The sequence below is a fragment of the Homo sapiens genome, chromosome 8, assembly GCF_000001405.40.
Source record: "Homo sapiens chromosome 8, GRCh38.p14 Primary Assembly".
Classification (NCBI taxonomy): Eukaryota; Metazoa; Chordata; class Mammalia; order Primates; family Hominidae; genus Homo; species Homo sapiens.
The window spans coordinates 12376267-12393046 of record NC_000008.11 but is presented as its reverse complement, the minus strand read 5'-3'; the positions used below and the strand labels follow the sequence as shown (position 1 = coordinate 12393046).

Genomic DNA, 16780 nt, shown 5'->3' with positions numbered 1-16780 from the left:
TGTGAGTCATTAACAGATCTTAACAAAACTTTTAAAAATGAGAAAACTGTTACTTCTGTTTTCCAAGATAGTGGATTGAAGGCATTGTTAGTCTGCCTCTTGCACTTGGAAAGAGAAAATGGTGTGTAGAAACTCACACTGTGAACTTTCTTTCAAGAAGCTACACAGGAATTTAACAGGAAAATTGAAATAAGCCACAGACCATTTGAAAGAAACAGCAGGATGCAGCTTACACCATAAGCTAGGCAGAAAATTGTAAGTTTCCAGGGTGTGACAGGAGGGTAAACTGACTCTAAGATATACACTTCCACTGGGAAACCTATCAATCCAGGCCGTGAGGGAAGGCCTTAACCCTACTCAGCGCTGGGGCTGATTTAGGGAAGAGTGGTGAGTATATGAGGAGTGGCATTGGGATGTGCTTTGAATCTCCAGCACATTCCCAGTTTCTGGTAGAATGGAGGGAAGCCATTTCTGATTCTACCTCAGACAGGACCTCCTAGAAGTCTGCCAGCTAACTCAGATGGTGGTCACAGGTTGAGACAACCTCCCAACTGAAATGTGTGATATAATCTTGACAGGGGACAAACTCTCCAGGCCAGAACTGAGAGGTGAGTGGGAAGTGTGCTGCAGCAGCAAGCACAGGAGCTGGGGGCCCCTGCTCTGCAGGTGGATCAGGAAGGGTGTGGCCTGAAGGTTGCAGTTGCTGTCTCCATAGGGGAGAATTATGGTATGGGTCAGTTTTGAGTTCTGAGCTCAGACTTCTTGAAACTTAGCTAGCTACTCCCAGTGGAACACTGTGGGTGTGAGACCTGCCTTGCCAAGTGTGTGGGAGCTGGATGGGGCTTACTACCAAGCTGCTACTCCCCATTCTTCACATGGACTCTCCTTGTACAGAGGCAGAGACAGCTTCACTTCTCTCTGGAAAATTACTCCAGTGGCCCAAGAACTGCCTTCCAATTCCCACTGGAGCCACTGCTTGTCCCACACATAGACAGCCAGAGCATCACCTTACCTGACCTAGTTCCCACCTGGCTTTGCTCAACCACCTACCCTGGTAGATTAACACAAATAACAGAAGAAACTTTTAGAAGCTCTATGGCTCCACCTATTTCCTGAGACACCAGAGTGCCTCCCATGGGTAACATAAGGCAAGTCCAAATCTCACCACTACCACCACAGCTGGCAGTCTTTTGGAAGCACCACCTCCTGGCTGAAGGCCTACTGACAGTCCTTTACAGCATCTGCAGGTAGAATAACATAGCACCCAGGAAGGAGAAAAGTTGTGAGTGACCACAACTGTTACCATTGCTTGCATCATTCTGGCTAAGCAGGAGGCCATGAGTCTGTCCATGTGATGAGTTCATTACTACTACAACTGGCATTTGAGAAATCCAATACACAACACACTAGGACTATTTATAACCAAGGAATCTTTCAGAGTCTACATCACTCCCCTGCCATCCCCATCTGATCAGCTGCCGATACACACTGCTGTGAGCCTTGAGGACAGATTATATCACTGGATCCATTGCAGACATTCTTGAGCACCAGCATGGTGTGCGGCAGCCCCACTGGGTAGCCAGACCCAGAGAAGCAGCAGCAGCATATGCAGTAATCTGAATTTCAGTGACTCCTACTCTGAGGAAAGAGGAAGCACACCACATCAAGGGAGCACCCTGGGGACAAAATAATCTAGATGACCTTGAGTCCCAGAACATTCCACTTGTGGGAAGTTGTTTGGTGGTTTGTTTGTTTCTGCTTTTTTTTCCAGCAGAGGAACATGTGCATGCTGGGCTCAGCGAGGAAAGTCTGTAGCTATAGCTCAACAATCAGGCAGCCTTGATGCTCAAGAAGAGTCTTGGATAATGGAGACTTATTTTCCATCTCATACACTACTGCAGACACAATAGTACTGTACTCAGAGCCAGTGTACTGAGGTGAGTGGCCATAAAACCTACTGAGACACCAGCCAGGACAGCTAAAGGAGTACTTGCATTACCACTCCCCCAACCCCAGGCAGCACAGCTTGCAGCTCCAAAAAAGACCGCTTCCTTCTGCTAGAGGAGATTAGAGGAAAGAGTAAAAAGGACTTTGTCTTGCATCTTGGATATCAGTTGAGCCACAGTAGGATAGGGCACTGGTCAGGGTCATGAGGCCCCCATTGTGGATGTAACTAACTTTTTTTTTTTAATTTTATAGGCTGATAGGCAGAAGGGACTTGTCTCAAATAAGACTTTGGACTTGGAGTTTTGAGTTATGCTGGAATCAGTTAAGACTTTGGGGGACTGTTGGAAAAGCATGATTGGCTTTGAAATATATATAAAAGACATGAGATTTGGGAGGTGCCAGGAGCAGAATAATATGGTTTGGCTCTGTGTCCCCACCCAAACCTCATCTCAAATTATTATCCCCACACATCGACAGAGGGACCTGTAATCGCCATGTGTCGAAGAAGTTTACTTCATGTTATCCTCATGATAGTGAGTGAATTCTTAGGAGATCTGATGGTTTTAAGAGTAGGTGATTTTTGTTTTTTTTTTCTGTGCACTCACTTCTCTCCCTGACACCTTGTGAAAAAAGGTGCCTGCTTCTGTCTTGCCTTCCACCATGACTGTAAGTTTCCTGAGGCCTCCCCAGCGATGCAGAACTGTAAAGTAATTAAACACCTTCTCTTTGTAAATTACCCAGTGTGGGGTAGTGTCTTTACAACAGTGTAAAAATGGACTAATACAGGTTCCCTGAAATATTCTGAGTCCCTTTGGAGGCAAGAATCTCTTCATACCAGCATGGTATACTGATGAAGTACATCCTGATCTCATGGGCTGAGAAAGAATTTATACATACCATTTATGTGCCAGCAACTCTATGTGCAGGCTTTTGAGCCCCAGAATGGGCTTTCTTGCCACATCTATTCTATCTAACATGTTTCTAAGCCAACTCAATATCTCTCATCCACACTGGGATAGGTCCTAAATTGCTGTCTGTTGCCCACCTGAGATAACGAGATGTTGTTAAATCAGGTGTGTGTGACCCAGATATGTCTATCTGGAGTGGCAGGAGAGGGTCTATCTGCTCACAAGAGTCTCTGCAACATTTTCTAAGTCAGTTCAGAAGCTTATTGATTCACCTTTGCAGGCAACATAGCCATGAGAAAGGTGTCCAAAAATTCCTGAACTTCTGGAAATTTTTAAAGTCTCCACAGGTGTCCAGAGGTGACTGTAGCTGTACTGAAAGTCACTGCCTGGATAACTGGCCTGTTAAAACAAATGCAAAATACACTAAGCCCACTAAGGATACCCAGAAGCCATGGTATTCAATTAATTTTTGTCTTTCTTGCAGGTGGGAGAATACTGAGGATTATGCCTTCCTATAGCCAGTGAAGGTTATTCCAGTGCCTAGATGTACCAGTCAACAGAGGCCATGGGAGAGCAGATGGCAGAAGGGCAGCCAGGTCCTTTCACTGGGGTTTACTGCTTGTCATGAGCTCTGCTGCTGGGCAGCATGTGTGATTTCTGACTCCTGCCATGTCCTCAAGAAGCCTTGCCCCATCAGCCAGCTGTCCTACCTCCTGAAAGCTGGTGCATGTTTGTTAGCATGGAGATCCAGAACAAGAGTCACTTTAGTATTTATCCATAGAGTCCCCATGTGTGCACATGCCTACCTGCAGGTTGTTTTTCCTATTTTTCTGAATGTTAATCTTTGCCTTCTGGAACTCAATATTACCCCATGTGGCCAAATATGGGATAATTGTCAGGGGAAACTGCTCTCTAGGTCCCAAGTCCACAGGGTTAGTATTATTATCAATATTAAAATTATTAATTATGGATATTAGTATCATAATAATCATCATTCCTGTTAATACTCATCAATATGTTTATTATTACTATCATTAAGATGGTTTATTAATGTTATTATTCAGTAATAAATGTTTAGTTTCTCCATTCACTCAGTCAAACTGGAGTCTGACTCCCGATATGACTATGGATATGACTGCATATGACTATGAGGGTTACCCTGCAGATATAGACATGAACAGCTGTCCCAGAGACAGCTCTTGCAGGCACTAATTGCTCTTTCATAGGATGAGTTCCTTACAGGAGAGAAGGGCTGATCTCCATGATGTGGTTTCCTCAGGGTCTCATTAAGGGCTGGTGATACAGGAGCACTTCCTACCCCTCTTCCTCATGTGAGAGTGGTACATTCTCTGTTGTCATGGCTGAGATGGCTCCATCTTGAACATATAAATTCCAGGTTGCAGAACCAAAAAAGCAAAAGAAGCATTGGATCTGCATAGGGAACTGCAAGCCATCCAGCAACCTCAGGACACACTCAGAAACAACCACGTGGACCACATCGCCCAAGCTCAGCTGCATGGCTCTCCGTTGGGCTAGGACGTGGACCTCTTCCACCAGGCTCAGCTGGAGTCCTATCCCTGGTCCCAGGACCACAAGGAGCATCTCTTTTTTTTGGAATCACACTGCTCCATTTGAAGGACAGCCCTCAGTTCTCTGTCTTCAAAAGAGGCTGCAAATGGTGCTAATTGGGAGGGAGCCGCCAGCAGCATCACCCTCTACAACTTTAAAATAAAAATGTCTTCCAGGGTGGGATATTATGCTGACCCTACCTAAAAGCACATTCCCTAGATGTTGCTTGTTGCCTGGAGTTTGAACAGCATTGTCCAAACTTTGCCATTGAAGAACAAGGAAACTTACCTGGGGTAGTTGCAGGTGTAGGACTAAATTCAGATGTGAAGATTCTTGAACTGGGGGTGTTTCTGTACCTGTAGAGATTGCAGACTGGGAAAGGTAAGGCTCTGGTCCTGCCAGACTCTCTAGAGGTTAAGAATGTGATCTGCAGAAAGACATGAACTAGCACAGGCAACTGTAGAACATCTGCCCCCAAGAATCATAAATGCCTTTTCACTCATCCTGTAGAATGCACTCTCTACTTTAATGATCATGTGGGATGTGACTTTAATTTCTAGGCATGGGGATTGATCTTAAGAAAAAGCAGGGAAAGTGCTTTACCTGTCCTGGGACTCTGCTCCACTTGCCAACATTTGAATGGATTCATTTGTGTGGTAGTCAAGCTACGGGAAATAAAGGGACCAGTCAGTCTTCCACACAATGACACAGAGGCCAATTATCACAAGTCCAAATCTCCATTTGTCACCCAGCTCACATTCCCGCTGTGGCACAAGGTCACATGCACTCGTGTCCAACTCCAAATAGTAGCTTCACATAGTATGTCAGCACTCTCCCATCCATCACCTCTTTTAGAAGGTCTTCCTCTGGATTGAAAATGGCCTGTGATAAAAGATAATGACCACAGGAAGCAGTTTTTTTTTAGGATCTGATCCACATGAGAAGATAGGACATCTAATTTGGTCTGAGGACTTTAGCTCTGCTAATATTTAAGGTAACTGACCCCTGTGTCTATAGATTTACAAAGGGAATGGAGTGAGAGATGATGAAATCTGTTTTCTTTCCTAGTGAGTATGAGGAAGAACCCTTACATCATGCTCTCTGTTGCCTGTTCTCCATACAGTGCCATTTCCCATTTAGGGAGAAGACATGGATTGTCAGTGGGAGCAAGCCTGAGACATGCCCACTGGCAGCTCCCAGAAACCCCTGAAACCTGGCCACATCATGAAGTTTCAACTGTGGGTCTCATGCCTCCCTTGGTATCTTGAATTCAGAACATTTAATGTCATGGCAGGCCAGGGAACCTCCTCTGCTCTAGTCTGGCTCTCTATCGCATATTCACACACACACACAAACACACACACACAAAGTCACACACACTCACACATCAACCTACTGGCAAACCAAGGTAGAAACATACACACACACATACCTGCTCAATCCAGGCCAATATCCCTGACAACATCAATGCAAAAATTCCTAATATAATACTAGCAAACAGAATCCAGCAGCACATCAAAAAGCTTATCCACCACAATCAAGTCGGCTGCATCTTTGGGATGAAACGCTGGTTCAACATACACAAACGAATAAATGTAATTGATCACATAAACAGAACCAAAGACAAAAACCAGACAATTATTTCAATAGATGCAAAAATGCCTTTGATAAAATTCACCATCCCTTCATGTTAAAAACTCTCAGTAAACTAGGTACTGATGGAACATATTGCAAAATAATAAGAGTTATTTATAACAAACCCACAGCCAACATCATATTTAATAGGCAAAAGCTGGAAGCATTCCCTTTGAAAACTGGTACAAGACAAGGATGCCCTCTGTAACCACTTCTATTCAACATAGTATTGGAAGTTCTCACCAGGGCTATCAGGCAAGAGAAAGAAATAAAGGGTATTCAAATAGGAAGAGAGAAAGTGAAGTTGTCTCTGTTTGCAGATGACATGACTTTATATTTAGAAAACCCCATCATCTCAATTCAAAAACTTCTTGAACTGATAAGCAACTTCACCAAGGACTCAAGATATTAAATCATTGTGCAAAAATCACAAGCATTCCTTTACATCAACAATAGTCAAGCAGAGAGCCAAATCAAGAATGAACTCCCATTCACAATTGCTACAAAGAGAATAAAATACCTAGGAATACAGCTAGGAGTACAAGGGATGTGAAGGACCTCTTCAAGGACATATGCAAACCACTGCTCAAGGAAATGAGAGAGGACACAAACGAATGGAAAAACATTCCATCCACATGAATAGGGAGAATCAATATTGTGAAAATGGCCATACTGCCCAAACTAATTTATAGATTCAATGCTATACCCATGAAGCTACCATTGACATTTTTCACATAATTAGAAAGAACTATTTTAAATTTCATATGAAATCAAAGAATACCCCGTATAGCCAAGACAACTGTAAGCAAAAATAACAAAGCTGGAGGCATTACGCTACCTAACTTCAAACTATACTAGAAGGCCACAGTAACCAAAACAGCATGCTACTGCTGCCAAAACAGACATATAGACCAATGGAGCAGAACAAAGACCTCAGAAATAACCCCACACATCTACGACCATCTGATATTTGACAAACCTGACAAAAACAGGCAAGGGAGAAAGGATCTCCTATTCAGTAAATGCTGCTGGGAAAACTGGCTTGCCATAGGCAGAAAACCAAAACTGGACCCCTTCCTTACACCTTATACAAAAATTAACTCAAGATGGATTAAAGACTTAAATGTGAAATCCAAAACCATAAAAACCCTAGAAGAAAACTTAAGCAATACCATTCAGGACATAGGCATGGGCAAAGGCTTCATGACAAAAATGCCAAAAGCAATTGCAACAAAAGCCAAAATTGACAAATTGGATCTAATTAAACTAAAGACCTTCTGCACAGCAAAGAAACTATCATCAGCATGAAAAAGCAAACTACAGAATGGGAGAAAATTGTTGCAATCTGCCCATCTGACAAAGGTCTAATAACCAAAGTTGACAAGGAACTTAAACATATTTACAAGCAAAAAAACAAACAACCCCATCAAACGTGAGCAAAAGATATGAACAGAAACTTATCAAAAGAAGACATTTATGCAACCAACAAATATATTTTTGAAAAGCTCAACAACATTGATCATCAGAGAAATGAAAATCAAAATTACAGTGAGATACCATCTCACACCCGTCAGAATGGTGATTATTAAAAAATTAAGAAACAATAGATGCTGGTGAGGCTGAGAAGAAAGAGGAAGGCTTTTACACTGATGGTGAAATTGTAAATTAGTTCAACCATTGTGGAAGACAGTATGTCGATTCCTCAAGGATCTAGAACCAGAAATACCATTTGACCCAGCAATCCCATTACTGGCTATGTACCCAAAGGAATATAAATCATTCCACTATAAAGACACATGCACATGTATGTTTATTGCAGCACTATATACAATAGGAAAGACATGAAACCAACCCAAATGCCCTTCATTGCTAGACTGGATAAAGAAAATGTGGTCCATATACACCAAAATATACTATGCAGTCATAAAAAGGAATGAGATTATGTCTTTTGCAGGCACATGGATAAAGCTAGAAGCCATCATACTGAGCAAACTAACACAGGAACAAAAACAAAAAAAAAACAAATACGGCATGTTCTCACTAATAAGTGAAAGTTGAACATTCAGGAAACAAGGACACAGTGAGAGGAACAACACACAACACGGCCCGTTGGGGGCTGGGGGTGAGGGAAGGAAACTTACAGGATAAGTCAATAGGTGCAACGAACCACCATAGCAAAGGATACCTATATAACAAACCTGCTCATTCTGCACATGTATCCTGTAATTTTTAAATTTAAAAAGAGGAAATACATACATACATACATACATACATGCATACATACATACATACATATGTACATACTTTTGAAAAAAGTCTGTACAGTTCGGATCTTCATTCCTGGTAAGCCAAGGAACCTGGACAAACACCAGAATTCTGTCCCTCTGAGAATGCCGGACAGGTTTACCTTCATCACCATAAAATTTTGGAACAAATGTGGTAACTGCAGGTTCTCTCCACAATGAGTAACTGAAAATTGAGGCAGTATTTCAGATCCTAAAAAACTGATGAAGTAATTCACCACACATTTGGGTTGTTTTTGACTTTTCCTACTATGAAGAGTGCTAGTAGGAAGAATGGTGTACAAGTATCTGTTTGATTCCCTGCTTTTAGAATCCTTTGCTTGTTTGTGGGTTTGTCTGTTCTTTCTTGAGACAGGATGTCACTCCAGTCAGCCAGGCTTTTCCAGTGTGTAATTTTTGTTGTTTCCTTTTGTCAAGTTTTAGAAGTTGTTATTTTATTTCTATTGAATTTTAAGGCATTTTTAGATATGTATTAAAACATTATCACACAGGCCGTGTGTTACATTGCAATTATTTTTATCGTTCTTTTAAGAAACAAAAGGTTTTAGCTTAGATATCTTCCAATTTGTGAAGCTTTTCTGATTTTGACTTTTTAAAAAATGCTGTCATATACAAGAAACCCTTGGATTAAAAATGCCATGAATATTTCTCTTTTCTTGCAGTCATAACTTCGGTGGATGTCATCAATTAGTCTCCGGGTTATAGCATGTTTTCTTGAAAGTGTTTCGCAATCTATTTTGGGCATTGAGAATTTCATCAAACTTAAGTGAATGTTTCTACATTCACTATTGAGGGGAATAGTCCCATCTGATGCTTTATTATTTGCATATCTTGCTTCCACAAGACCATTTCATGCAAAGACTTGTCTTCTCCCCAATGCCAGATCATTACAACATGATATGGAATCAACTGGCCAAAAATGGGAAGGTTATCTCTGGAATGTCTATTTGACTCCATTGATCTCTCCATCTTAATTAAGACAAAGTATATGCTGTATTAATGACATACCATTGCTGCAAATTCTCAAGTCAGAAAGTGTAGTTATAACTTCTTGTCATTTAGTCGCTGAATCTTATGTCACAGATGCACATGCTTGGAAGTACTTCTCAATGCATGCAGACACATCCAGAAACAAACACACAAATACACACATACACACAAACTGTTTACTATGTACACAAATGTTAACTAGCATTGTTTTACATGAAATAAGGCAAATGTTTAGCCCCTATCCTAACCCGGTTCCACTCCTATCATATTTGCCCATAATACTGACAAGTAAATCTGCTTCAAATCTTCCATAATCACAATGTAAGCTGTGTCCATTAAATTCTCTGAGGAATGCAAGAGGATACAACCTAAGACAAAAAAATTAATTGAATCCTGATATTTCATTAGTAAACAGGGTAATTGATGGATAAATGTAATGGTCTCGGTGGGTGGACAGTAGTTATATAAGGGCTGATGCAGCAAGATACTTAATTATTTAAAGGCGTTTGAAAGAAATTGAAACACAAGAGTGGGTGTATTCAACTAAAATAAAATCAGAGAGCCCTAAAATAAATCCATTTTGCGGGTAAAAAAATGGCATTAGAGGAGATTCTGGGTCAATCATCCAGCTGTGAAAGTTGCATCTTCGAAGCAGGATCCCTGTAATGCAACGATACTTGTTTATCAGTGGTGGTCTTTCAGTGGAAAAGATTTTGAAGAATCGACCCTTCCTTTTTTGTATTTGACAATTAGATTTCATGCCAAATCTTGGGTTTTAAACTCTATTTAAACGTTAACAGAATTAAATAAAATGGCGAAAAACCATGAGATTCTTTGATTTGGAATCGTCACATATGCATTTCTTGTTAAGTACAGTTATCAAAGATGACCTACCGGAGAGACACAATTGTGGACAATGGCCCGTTACTTTTGTATGTTTGCTGATTAGATTTCATAGTCCATTTCTCATTAGGTACAAAGATCAAAGTTGACCTACACAAGAGTAGAGAGGTCCAGGACAGAACTCAGGGCTCCGCAGAACCACAGAATCTTGGGTGTAAGATTGCTCAAGAACAAAAATGTGCTTATTCAGAGTGTTTCTGTGTGACATGTGTGTCAACTACAGTGCAATGAGCATGACACGCAGGCAGGATATCAATACGGCTCACCTCAAAAGCAGTTATGAGCATTAAAGGACACCCATGCCTAGGTCCCGGTTAAAGAGATAAGACTCTCCCACACCCTGTGTGAAGCCACGGCATGTGGATTGCTCATGCTTCTGGGGATCATTCTCCTGAAAATGGTGGCTCCTTTCTCACTGTGGAGCATCTTTCTAAGCAGTGTCCTTTCTTCCCCCAGGACACTTTACTTCAGGCACAGGAAGCCTTCTGATGGAGCACACCTGGCCCATGAAAAGACAAGGGAAAGAAATGGGGCCAAAGGTCACAGTCCTCTCATTCCATCATCCTCCTTAAAATCATCCTAATTTCATGGGCCCTGAGGCCACGGCTGTTTCTTTAAAACTAGAGGCCTTGGCGCCGGGCCTCAATTTTGCCCTGTTCCTTACTGTCTAAGAAAGGTTGGGAAAATCCCTAGAGCCAGGATCTTCATTCCTGGTAAGCCAGAGAGCCTGAAGACACACCCAAATTCTGTCCCTCTTACTTCAGGGAACATGTCCACTTTCGTCAGCATTACAATTTTTGCACCAAATGTGCTAACTGCAATTCCACCATACAATGCATAAATGGAAATGGAGGGAACATCTCAGATCCTGAACAATCGATGCGAGAATCCAGGAGATACACGGCTGATTTTTGCGTTTTCCCTGTGAAACAAGGGCCAGTATTAAAAATGGTATGCTATCCTCTGTTTCACTCCCTGCTTTTAAGTCTCCGATGTTTCTTCTTAAGACAGGGCCTCACTTCCTTCCCCCTGACTTTTCTACGGTATAATTTTCGTTGTTTGCTTTTGTCAAAATTAGAACTTTTTATTTCATCTCTATGAAATGTTGATCCATTATCACATACGTATGGAAAGACTATCACCCATGATGTGAGATACGTTGTTTTTATTTTCATCAATTCTTTAATAAACCAAAGGTTATAGTTGGGATACCTTCCGATTTCTCTAGTTTTTTGTTTCATGTTTTCTTTCTTTTTTTTTTTTTTTTTTTTTTTTTTTTTGAGACGGGGTCTCGCTCTGTCGCCCAGGCCGGACTGCGGACTGCAGTGGCGCAATCTCGGCTCACTGCAAGCTCCGCTTCCCGGGTTCACGCCATTCTCCTGCCTCAGCCTCCCGAGTAGCTGGGACTACAGGCGCCCGCCACCGCGCCCGGCTAATTTTTTGTATTTTTAGTAGAGACGGGGTTTCACCTTGTTAGCCAGGATGGTCTCGATCTCCTGACCTCATGATCCACCCGCCTCGGCCTCCCAAAGTGCTGGGATTACAGGCGTGAGCCACCGCGCCCGGCCGTTTCATGTTTTCTTAAACTGCCATCGCACATCCGAAATCATTCACTATACAATGTCATGACCATCTCTCTTTTCTGGCAAACATAAATTTGGGGATTGTCATCAATTAGTCTCTCGGTGACTGAATGATTTCCACAAAGTCTTTCACAGTCTACTTTATGCACTGAGTATCTCTTCAAACTTCAGTGTATGTTTCTACCATTTGATGCTTTATTATTTGGCAACCTAGCTTCCAAAAGAGCATTTCATGCAAAGACTTGTCTTGTTATCCACTGGCAGCTAATTTCATTCGGATAGAGAATCAATAGGCTGAACGTGGAAAGCTTATCGCTGGAAGGTTTGTTTGTTTCCACGGATCTCTCCTTTCTTATTAGGGAAAAAAATACGCTGTGCTAAATACTATACTTCATTGACTATTCTCAGGTCAGAAAGCGCACTTCCGACTTCTTCTCTTTCCGTCGCTGAGAGGATGATGGTAGCTGCCAAAAGCACATACTTGGAGGTTCATCCCAGCACAAACACACACACACAAACACACAAACACACACACACACGGCTTCATAGGTAAAGATTTCTTCCCTGACATTGTTTTACCTAAAATAAGGCAACTGTGTGGCCACTGTCCCAACCTGGTTACACTCATATTACATCTGCCTATCATCCTGAGGAGTAATGTGATTCAGGTGTTCTAGAAGTCATGATGTGGGCTGTGTCTGTTGAATTCCCAGCGATGCAAGGGGACACACCCTGTGACTCATTCCTTAATTAAATGCTGATATTTGATTGGTTTATCGCGCACCTGATGAGTGGGTGAGGTGTTCGCCGTTGGTGCGGGTGAGTTATATAAGGGCTGATGCGGCCAGAGAGCTCGTCATTTGAAGACTCTCTCGGAAGAGATAGCGTCTTTCTGCAACATAAGGTCCCAGCCGAAAAACCTTGTGATCCTTGTTCCGGGCGACATGGAGGACGACTCACTCTACTTGGGAGGTGAGTGGCAGTTCAACCACTTTTCAAAACTCACATCTTCTCGGCCAGATGCAGCCTTTGCTGAAATCCAGCGGACTTCTCTCCCTGAGAAGTCACAACTCTCAACTGAGACCCGCGTCGACTTCTGCGATGATTTGGCGCCTGTGGCAAGACAGCTCGCTCCCAGGGAGAAGCTTCCTCTGAGTAGCAGGAGACCTGCTGCGGTGGGGGCTGGGCTCCAGAATATGGGAAATACCTGCTACGTGAACGCTTCCCAGCAGTGTCTGACATACATACCGCCCCTTGCCAACTACATGCTGTCCCGGGAGCACTCTCAAACATGTCATCGTCACAAGTGCTGCATGCTCTGTACCATGGAAGCTCACATCACATGGCCCCTCCACATTCCTGGCCATGTCATCCAGCCCTCACAGGCATTGGCTGCTGGCTTCCATAGAGGCAAGCAGGAAGCTGCCCTTGAATTTCTCATGTTCACTGTGGATGCCATGAAAAAGGCATGCCTTCCCGGGCACAAGCAGGTAGATCATCACTCCAAGGACACCACCCTCATCCACCAAATATTTGGAGGGTACTGGAGATCTCAAATCAAGTGACTCCACTGCCACGGCATTTCAGACACTTTTGGCCCTTACCTGGACATCGCCCTGGATATCCAGGAAGCTCAGAGTGTCAAGCAAGCTTTGGAACAGTTGGTGAAGCCCAAAGAACTCAATGGAGAGAATGCCTATCATTGTGGTCTTTGTCTCCAGAGGGCGCCGGCCTCCAAGACGTAAACTTTACACACTTCTGCCAAGATCCTCATCCTCGTATGGAAGAGATTCTCCGATGTCACAGGCAACAAAATTGCCAAGAATGTGCAATATCCTGAGTGCCTTGACATGCAGCCATACATGTCTCAGCAGAACACAGGACCTCTTGTCTATGTCCTCTATGCTGTGCTGGTCCACGCCGGGTGGAGTTGTCACAACGGACATTACTTCTCTTATGTCAAAGTTCAAGAAGGCCAGTGGTATAAAATGGATGATGCCGAGGTCACTGCCTCTGGCATCACCTCTGTCCTGAGTCAACAGGCCTATGTCCTCTTTTACATCCAGAAGAGTGAATGGGAAAGACACAGTGAGAGTGTGTCAAGAGGCAGGGAACCAAGAGCCCTCGGCGCTGAAGACACAGACAGGCGAGCAACGCAAGGAGAGCTCAAGAGAGACTACCCCTGCCTCCAGGTACCCGAGTTGGACGAGCACTTGGTGGAAAGAGCCACTCAGGAAAGCACCTTAGACCACTGGAAATTCCTCCAAGAGCAAAACAAAACGAAGCCTGAGTTCAACGTCAGAAAACTTGAAGGTACCCTGCCTCCCAACGTACTTGTGATTCATCAATCAAAATACAAGTGTGGGATGAAAAACCATCATCCTGAACAGCAAAGCTCCCTGCTAAACCTCTCTTCGACGAACCCGACAGATCAGGAGTCCATGAACACTGGCACACTCGCTTCTCTGCAAGGGAGGACCAGGAGATCCAAAGGGAAGAACAAACACTGCAAGAGGGCTCTGCTTGTGTGCCAGTGATCTCAGTGGAAGTGCCGACCCACACGTAGGGGAGAAAAACACACACACACACACACAAACACAAATACACCCACAAGCGCGCAAGGAAACACACACACACCCACACAAACACGAACACCGTCTATCCTACATAAAGTAATGAGGAGCCCCAGTTTCTGTCTCTACAACAGGGACAACTGGATAGTGACGGCTGCATCTCAGGATGAGCCCACACATGGGAAACATCAAGTTTTGGGGTCGTGAGTCTTCCGAACCTCTGGAGGGACTGTCTGTGTGTTTGTGTTCATGGTAGATGACATTCAGTGTGTATTTCTTAATGTGACCTATTGACGTGTAGGTTTGCGTGTGAGGTTATTGCAGGGGACATGGTTTACTATTTCCTCTTGGGGTTTGTTTCATTCATCAGTTCTTGGTCGGCAAGAGAAGGTGAAATTTTGCTCATGTGGGACATCCGTGGATCATTCTCGCCACGTTGAATAGTGGATACTGGAATTCAATTGGAAGATAGGAACGGTGCTCTCCTTTCTTACCCTGGCTCGCCCATTTTATTTTGGTTTCTGAATGGACCTTAGGCGCCCTGGGACTTGTGCTCTTGCTGGAACCCACATAACGCCGGAAGCAGACAGACCGACTTGCCTGTTTCACGGTGTCCACTTCCAATGAGTCGAAACAGAAAATTTTCCCACTAGCACGGAAGTCATTTGGAACTAAGTCTTATTGCTACTAAAGGAAATCAAACACTGGAGTGTGTGTATTCAACTAAAATACATTCAGAAAGCCCTGAAATAAACCTCATTTGGTGTGTTTACAAATGGCATTTGGGGAGATTCCGGGTCATTCGTCCAGCTGCGAAAGCTGCACCTCTGAAGCACAGTCCCTGTCCTGCAATCAGACTTATTTATTCGACGTGGTGTTTCTGTGGAAATTATTGTGGGAAATGGCCCCTTCCTTTTCTGTATTTGCTGATTAGATTTCATGGTCCCTTTCTTGTTAGGTGCAGTGATCAAAGTTGACCAACCCCTGAAGAAAGCTGTCCAGGGCACAACTCAGGGCTCCGTAGTACCACAGAATCGTGGGCGCAACCCTGCTCAAGCACCCCAATGTGCATACGAACAGGGTCTCTCTGTGACGTGTGTGAAAACTACAGTGTGACGAGCATGACTCGCAGACAGGTTATCGATTGGGCTCCCCTCAAAATCAGTTATGAGCATTAAAGCACACCGATGCCCAGGTCCCGGCTCCAGGAATAAGACCCTCCAGCGTCTTGTGTGAAGCCACGGCATGTGGATTGCTCATGCTTCTGGGGATCATTCTCCTGAAAACGGTGGCTCCTTTCTCCCTGTGGAGCACCTTTCTAAGCAGTGCCCTTTCTTCACCCAGGACACTTTACATCAGGCACAGAAAGCCTTCTGATGGAGCACACCTGGCCCATGAAAAAACAAGGGAAAGAAACGGGGCCAAAGGTCACAGTCCTCTCATTCCATCATCCTCCTTAAAATCATCCTAATTTCATGGGCCCTGAGGCCACGGCTGTTTCTTTACACCTCGAGACCTTGGCGCCGGGCCTCAATTCTGCTCCAGTGCTTACTGTCTAAGACATTTTGGGAGAATCCCTAGAGCCTAGATCTTCAATCCTGGTAAGCCAGAGAGCCTGAAGACACACCCAAATTATGTCCCTCTTAGTTCAGGGAACATGTCCATTTTCGTCAGCACTAAAATTTTTGCACCAAATGTGCTAACTGCAATTCCACCATGCAATGCGTAACTGTAAATGGAGGCAACATCTCAGATCCTGAACAATCGATGCGAGAATCCAGGAGACACACGGCTTATTTTTGCCTTTTCCCACTGAAACAAGGGCCAGTATTAACAATCTTATGCTATCCTGGGTTTCACTCTCTGCTTTTAAATCTCTCCAATGTTTTCTTCTTGAGACAGGGCCTCACTCCCGTCACCAGGGCTTTTCTACGGTGCAATTTTCGGTGTTTGCTTTTGTCAAATTTAGAACTTTTCATTTCATCTCTATCAAATGTTGATCCATTATCACATACGTATGAAAATATTATCACCCATGCTGTGAGATACGTTGTTTTTATTTTCATCAATTCTTTAATAAACCAAAGGTTATAGTTGGGATACCTTCTGATTTCTCAAGTTTTTTGTTTCAGGTTTTCTTAAACTGCCGTCGCACGTCCGAAACCATTCACTATACAATGTCATTTTCATCTCTCTTTTCTGGCACACATAAATTTGCGGAATGTCATCAATTAGTCTCTCGGTGATTGCATGATTTCCCCAAAGTCTTACACACTCTACATTGTGCACTGAGTATCTCTTCAGACTTTAGTGCATGTTTCTACCACTTGATGCTTTATTACTTGCCATCTAGCTTCCACAAGAGCATT

At 43.4% G+C, this 16780-nt stretch overlaps 1 long non-coding RNA gene and 1 pseudogene across 2 annotated transcripts in view; one reads left to right on the top strand and one right to left on the bottom strand.

The window, feature by feature from the left end:
* Positions 1 to 16780, bottom strand: part of FAM66A (family with sequence similarity 66 member A) — a 48983-nt gene that overhangs the window by 17955 nt on the left and 14248 nt on the right. Inside the window, exons 3-4 of the long non-coding RNA NR_026789.1 lie at positions 5028 to 5089; positions 4713 to 4780 (exon numbers count right to left, since the gene is read on the bottom strand). This is a non-coding gene — a long non-coding RNA (family with sequence similarity 66 member A). The remainder of the gene's footprint in view (positions 1 to 4712; positions 4781 to 5027; positions 5090 to 16780) is intronic.
* LOC649352 (ubiquitin carboxyl-terminal hydrolase 17-like protein 2-like) lies at positions 13258 to 13780 on the top strand (annotated as a pseudogene). Its single transcript, NR_046415.1, has one exon. The product of NR_046415.1 is annotated as a ubiquitin carboxyl-terminal hydrolase 17-like protein 2-like (transcript).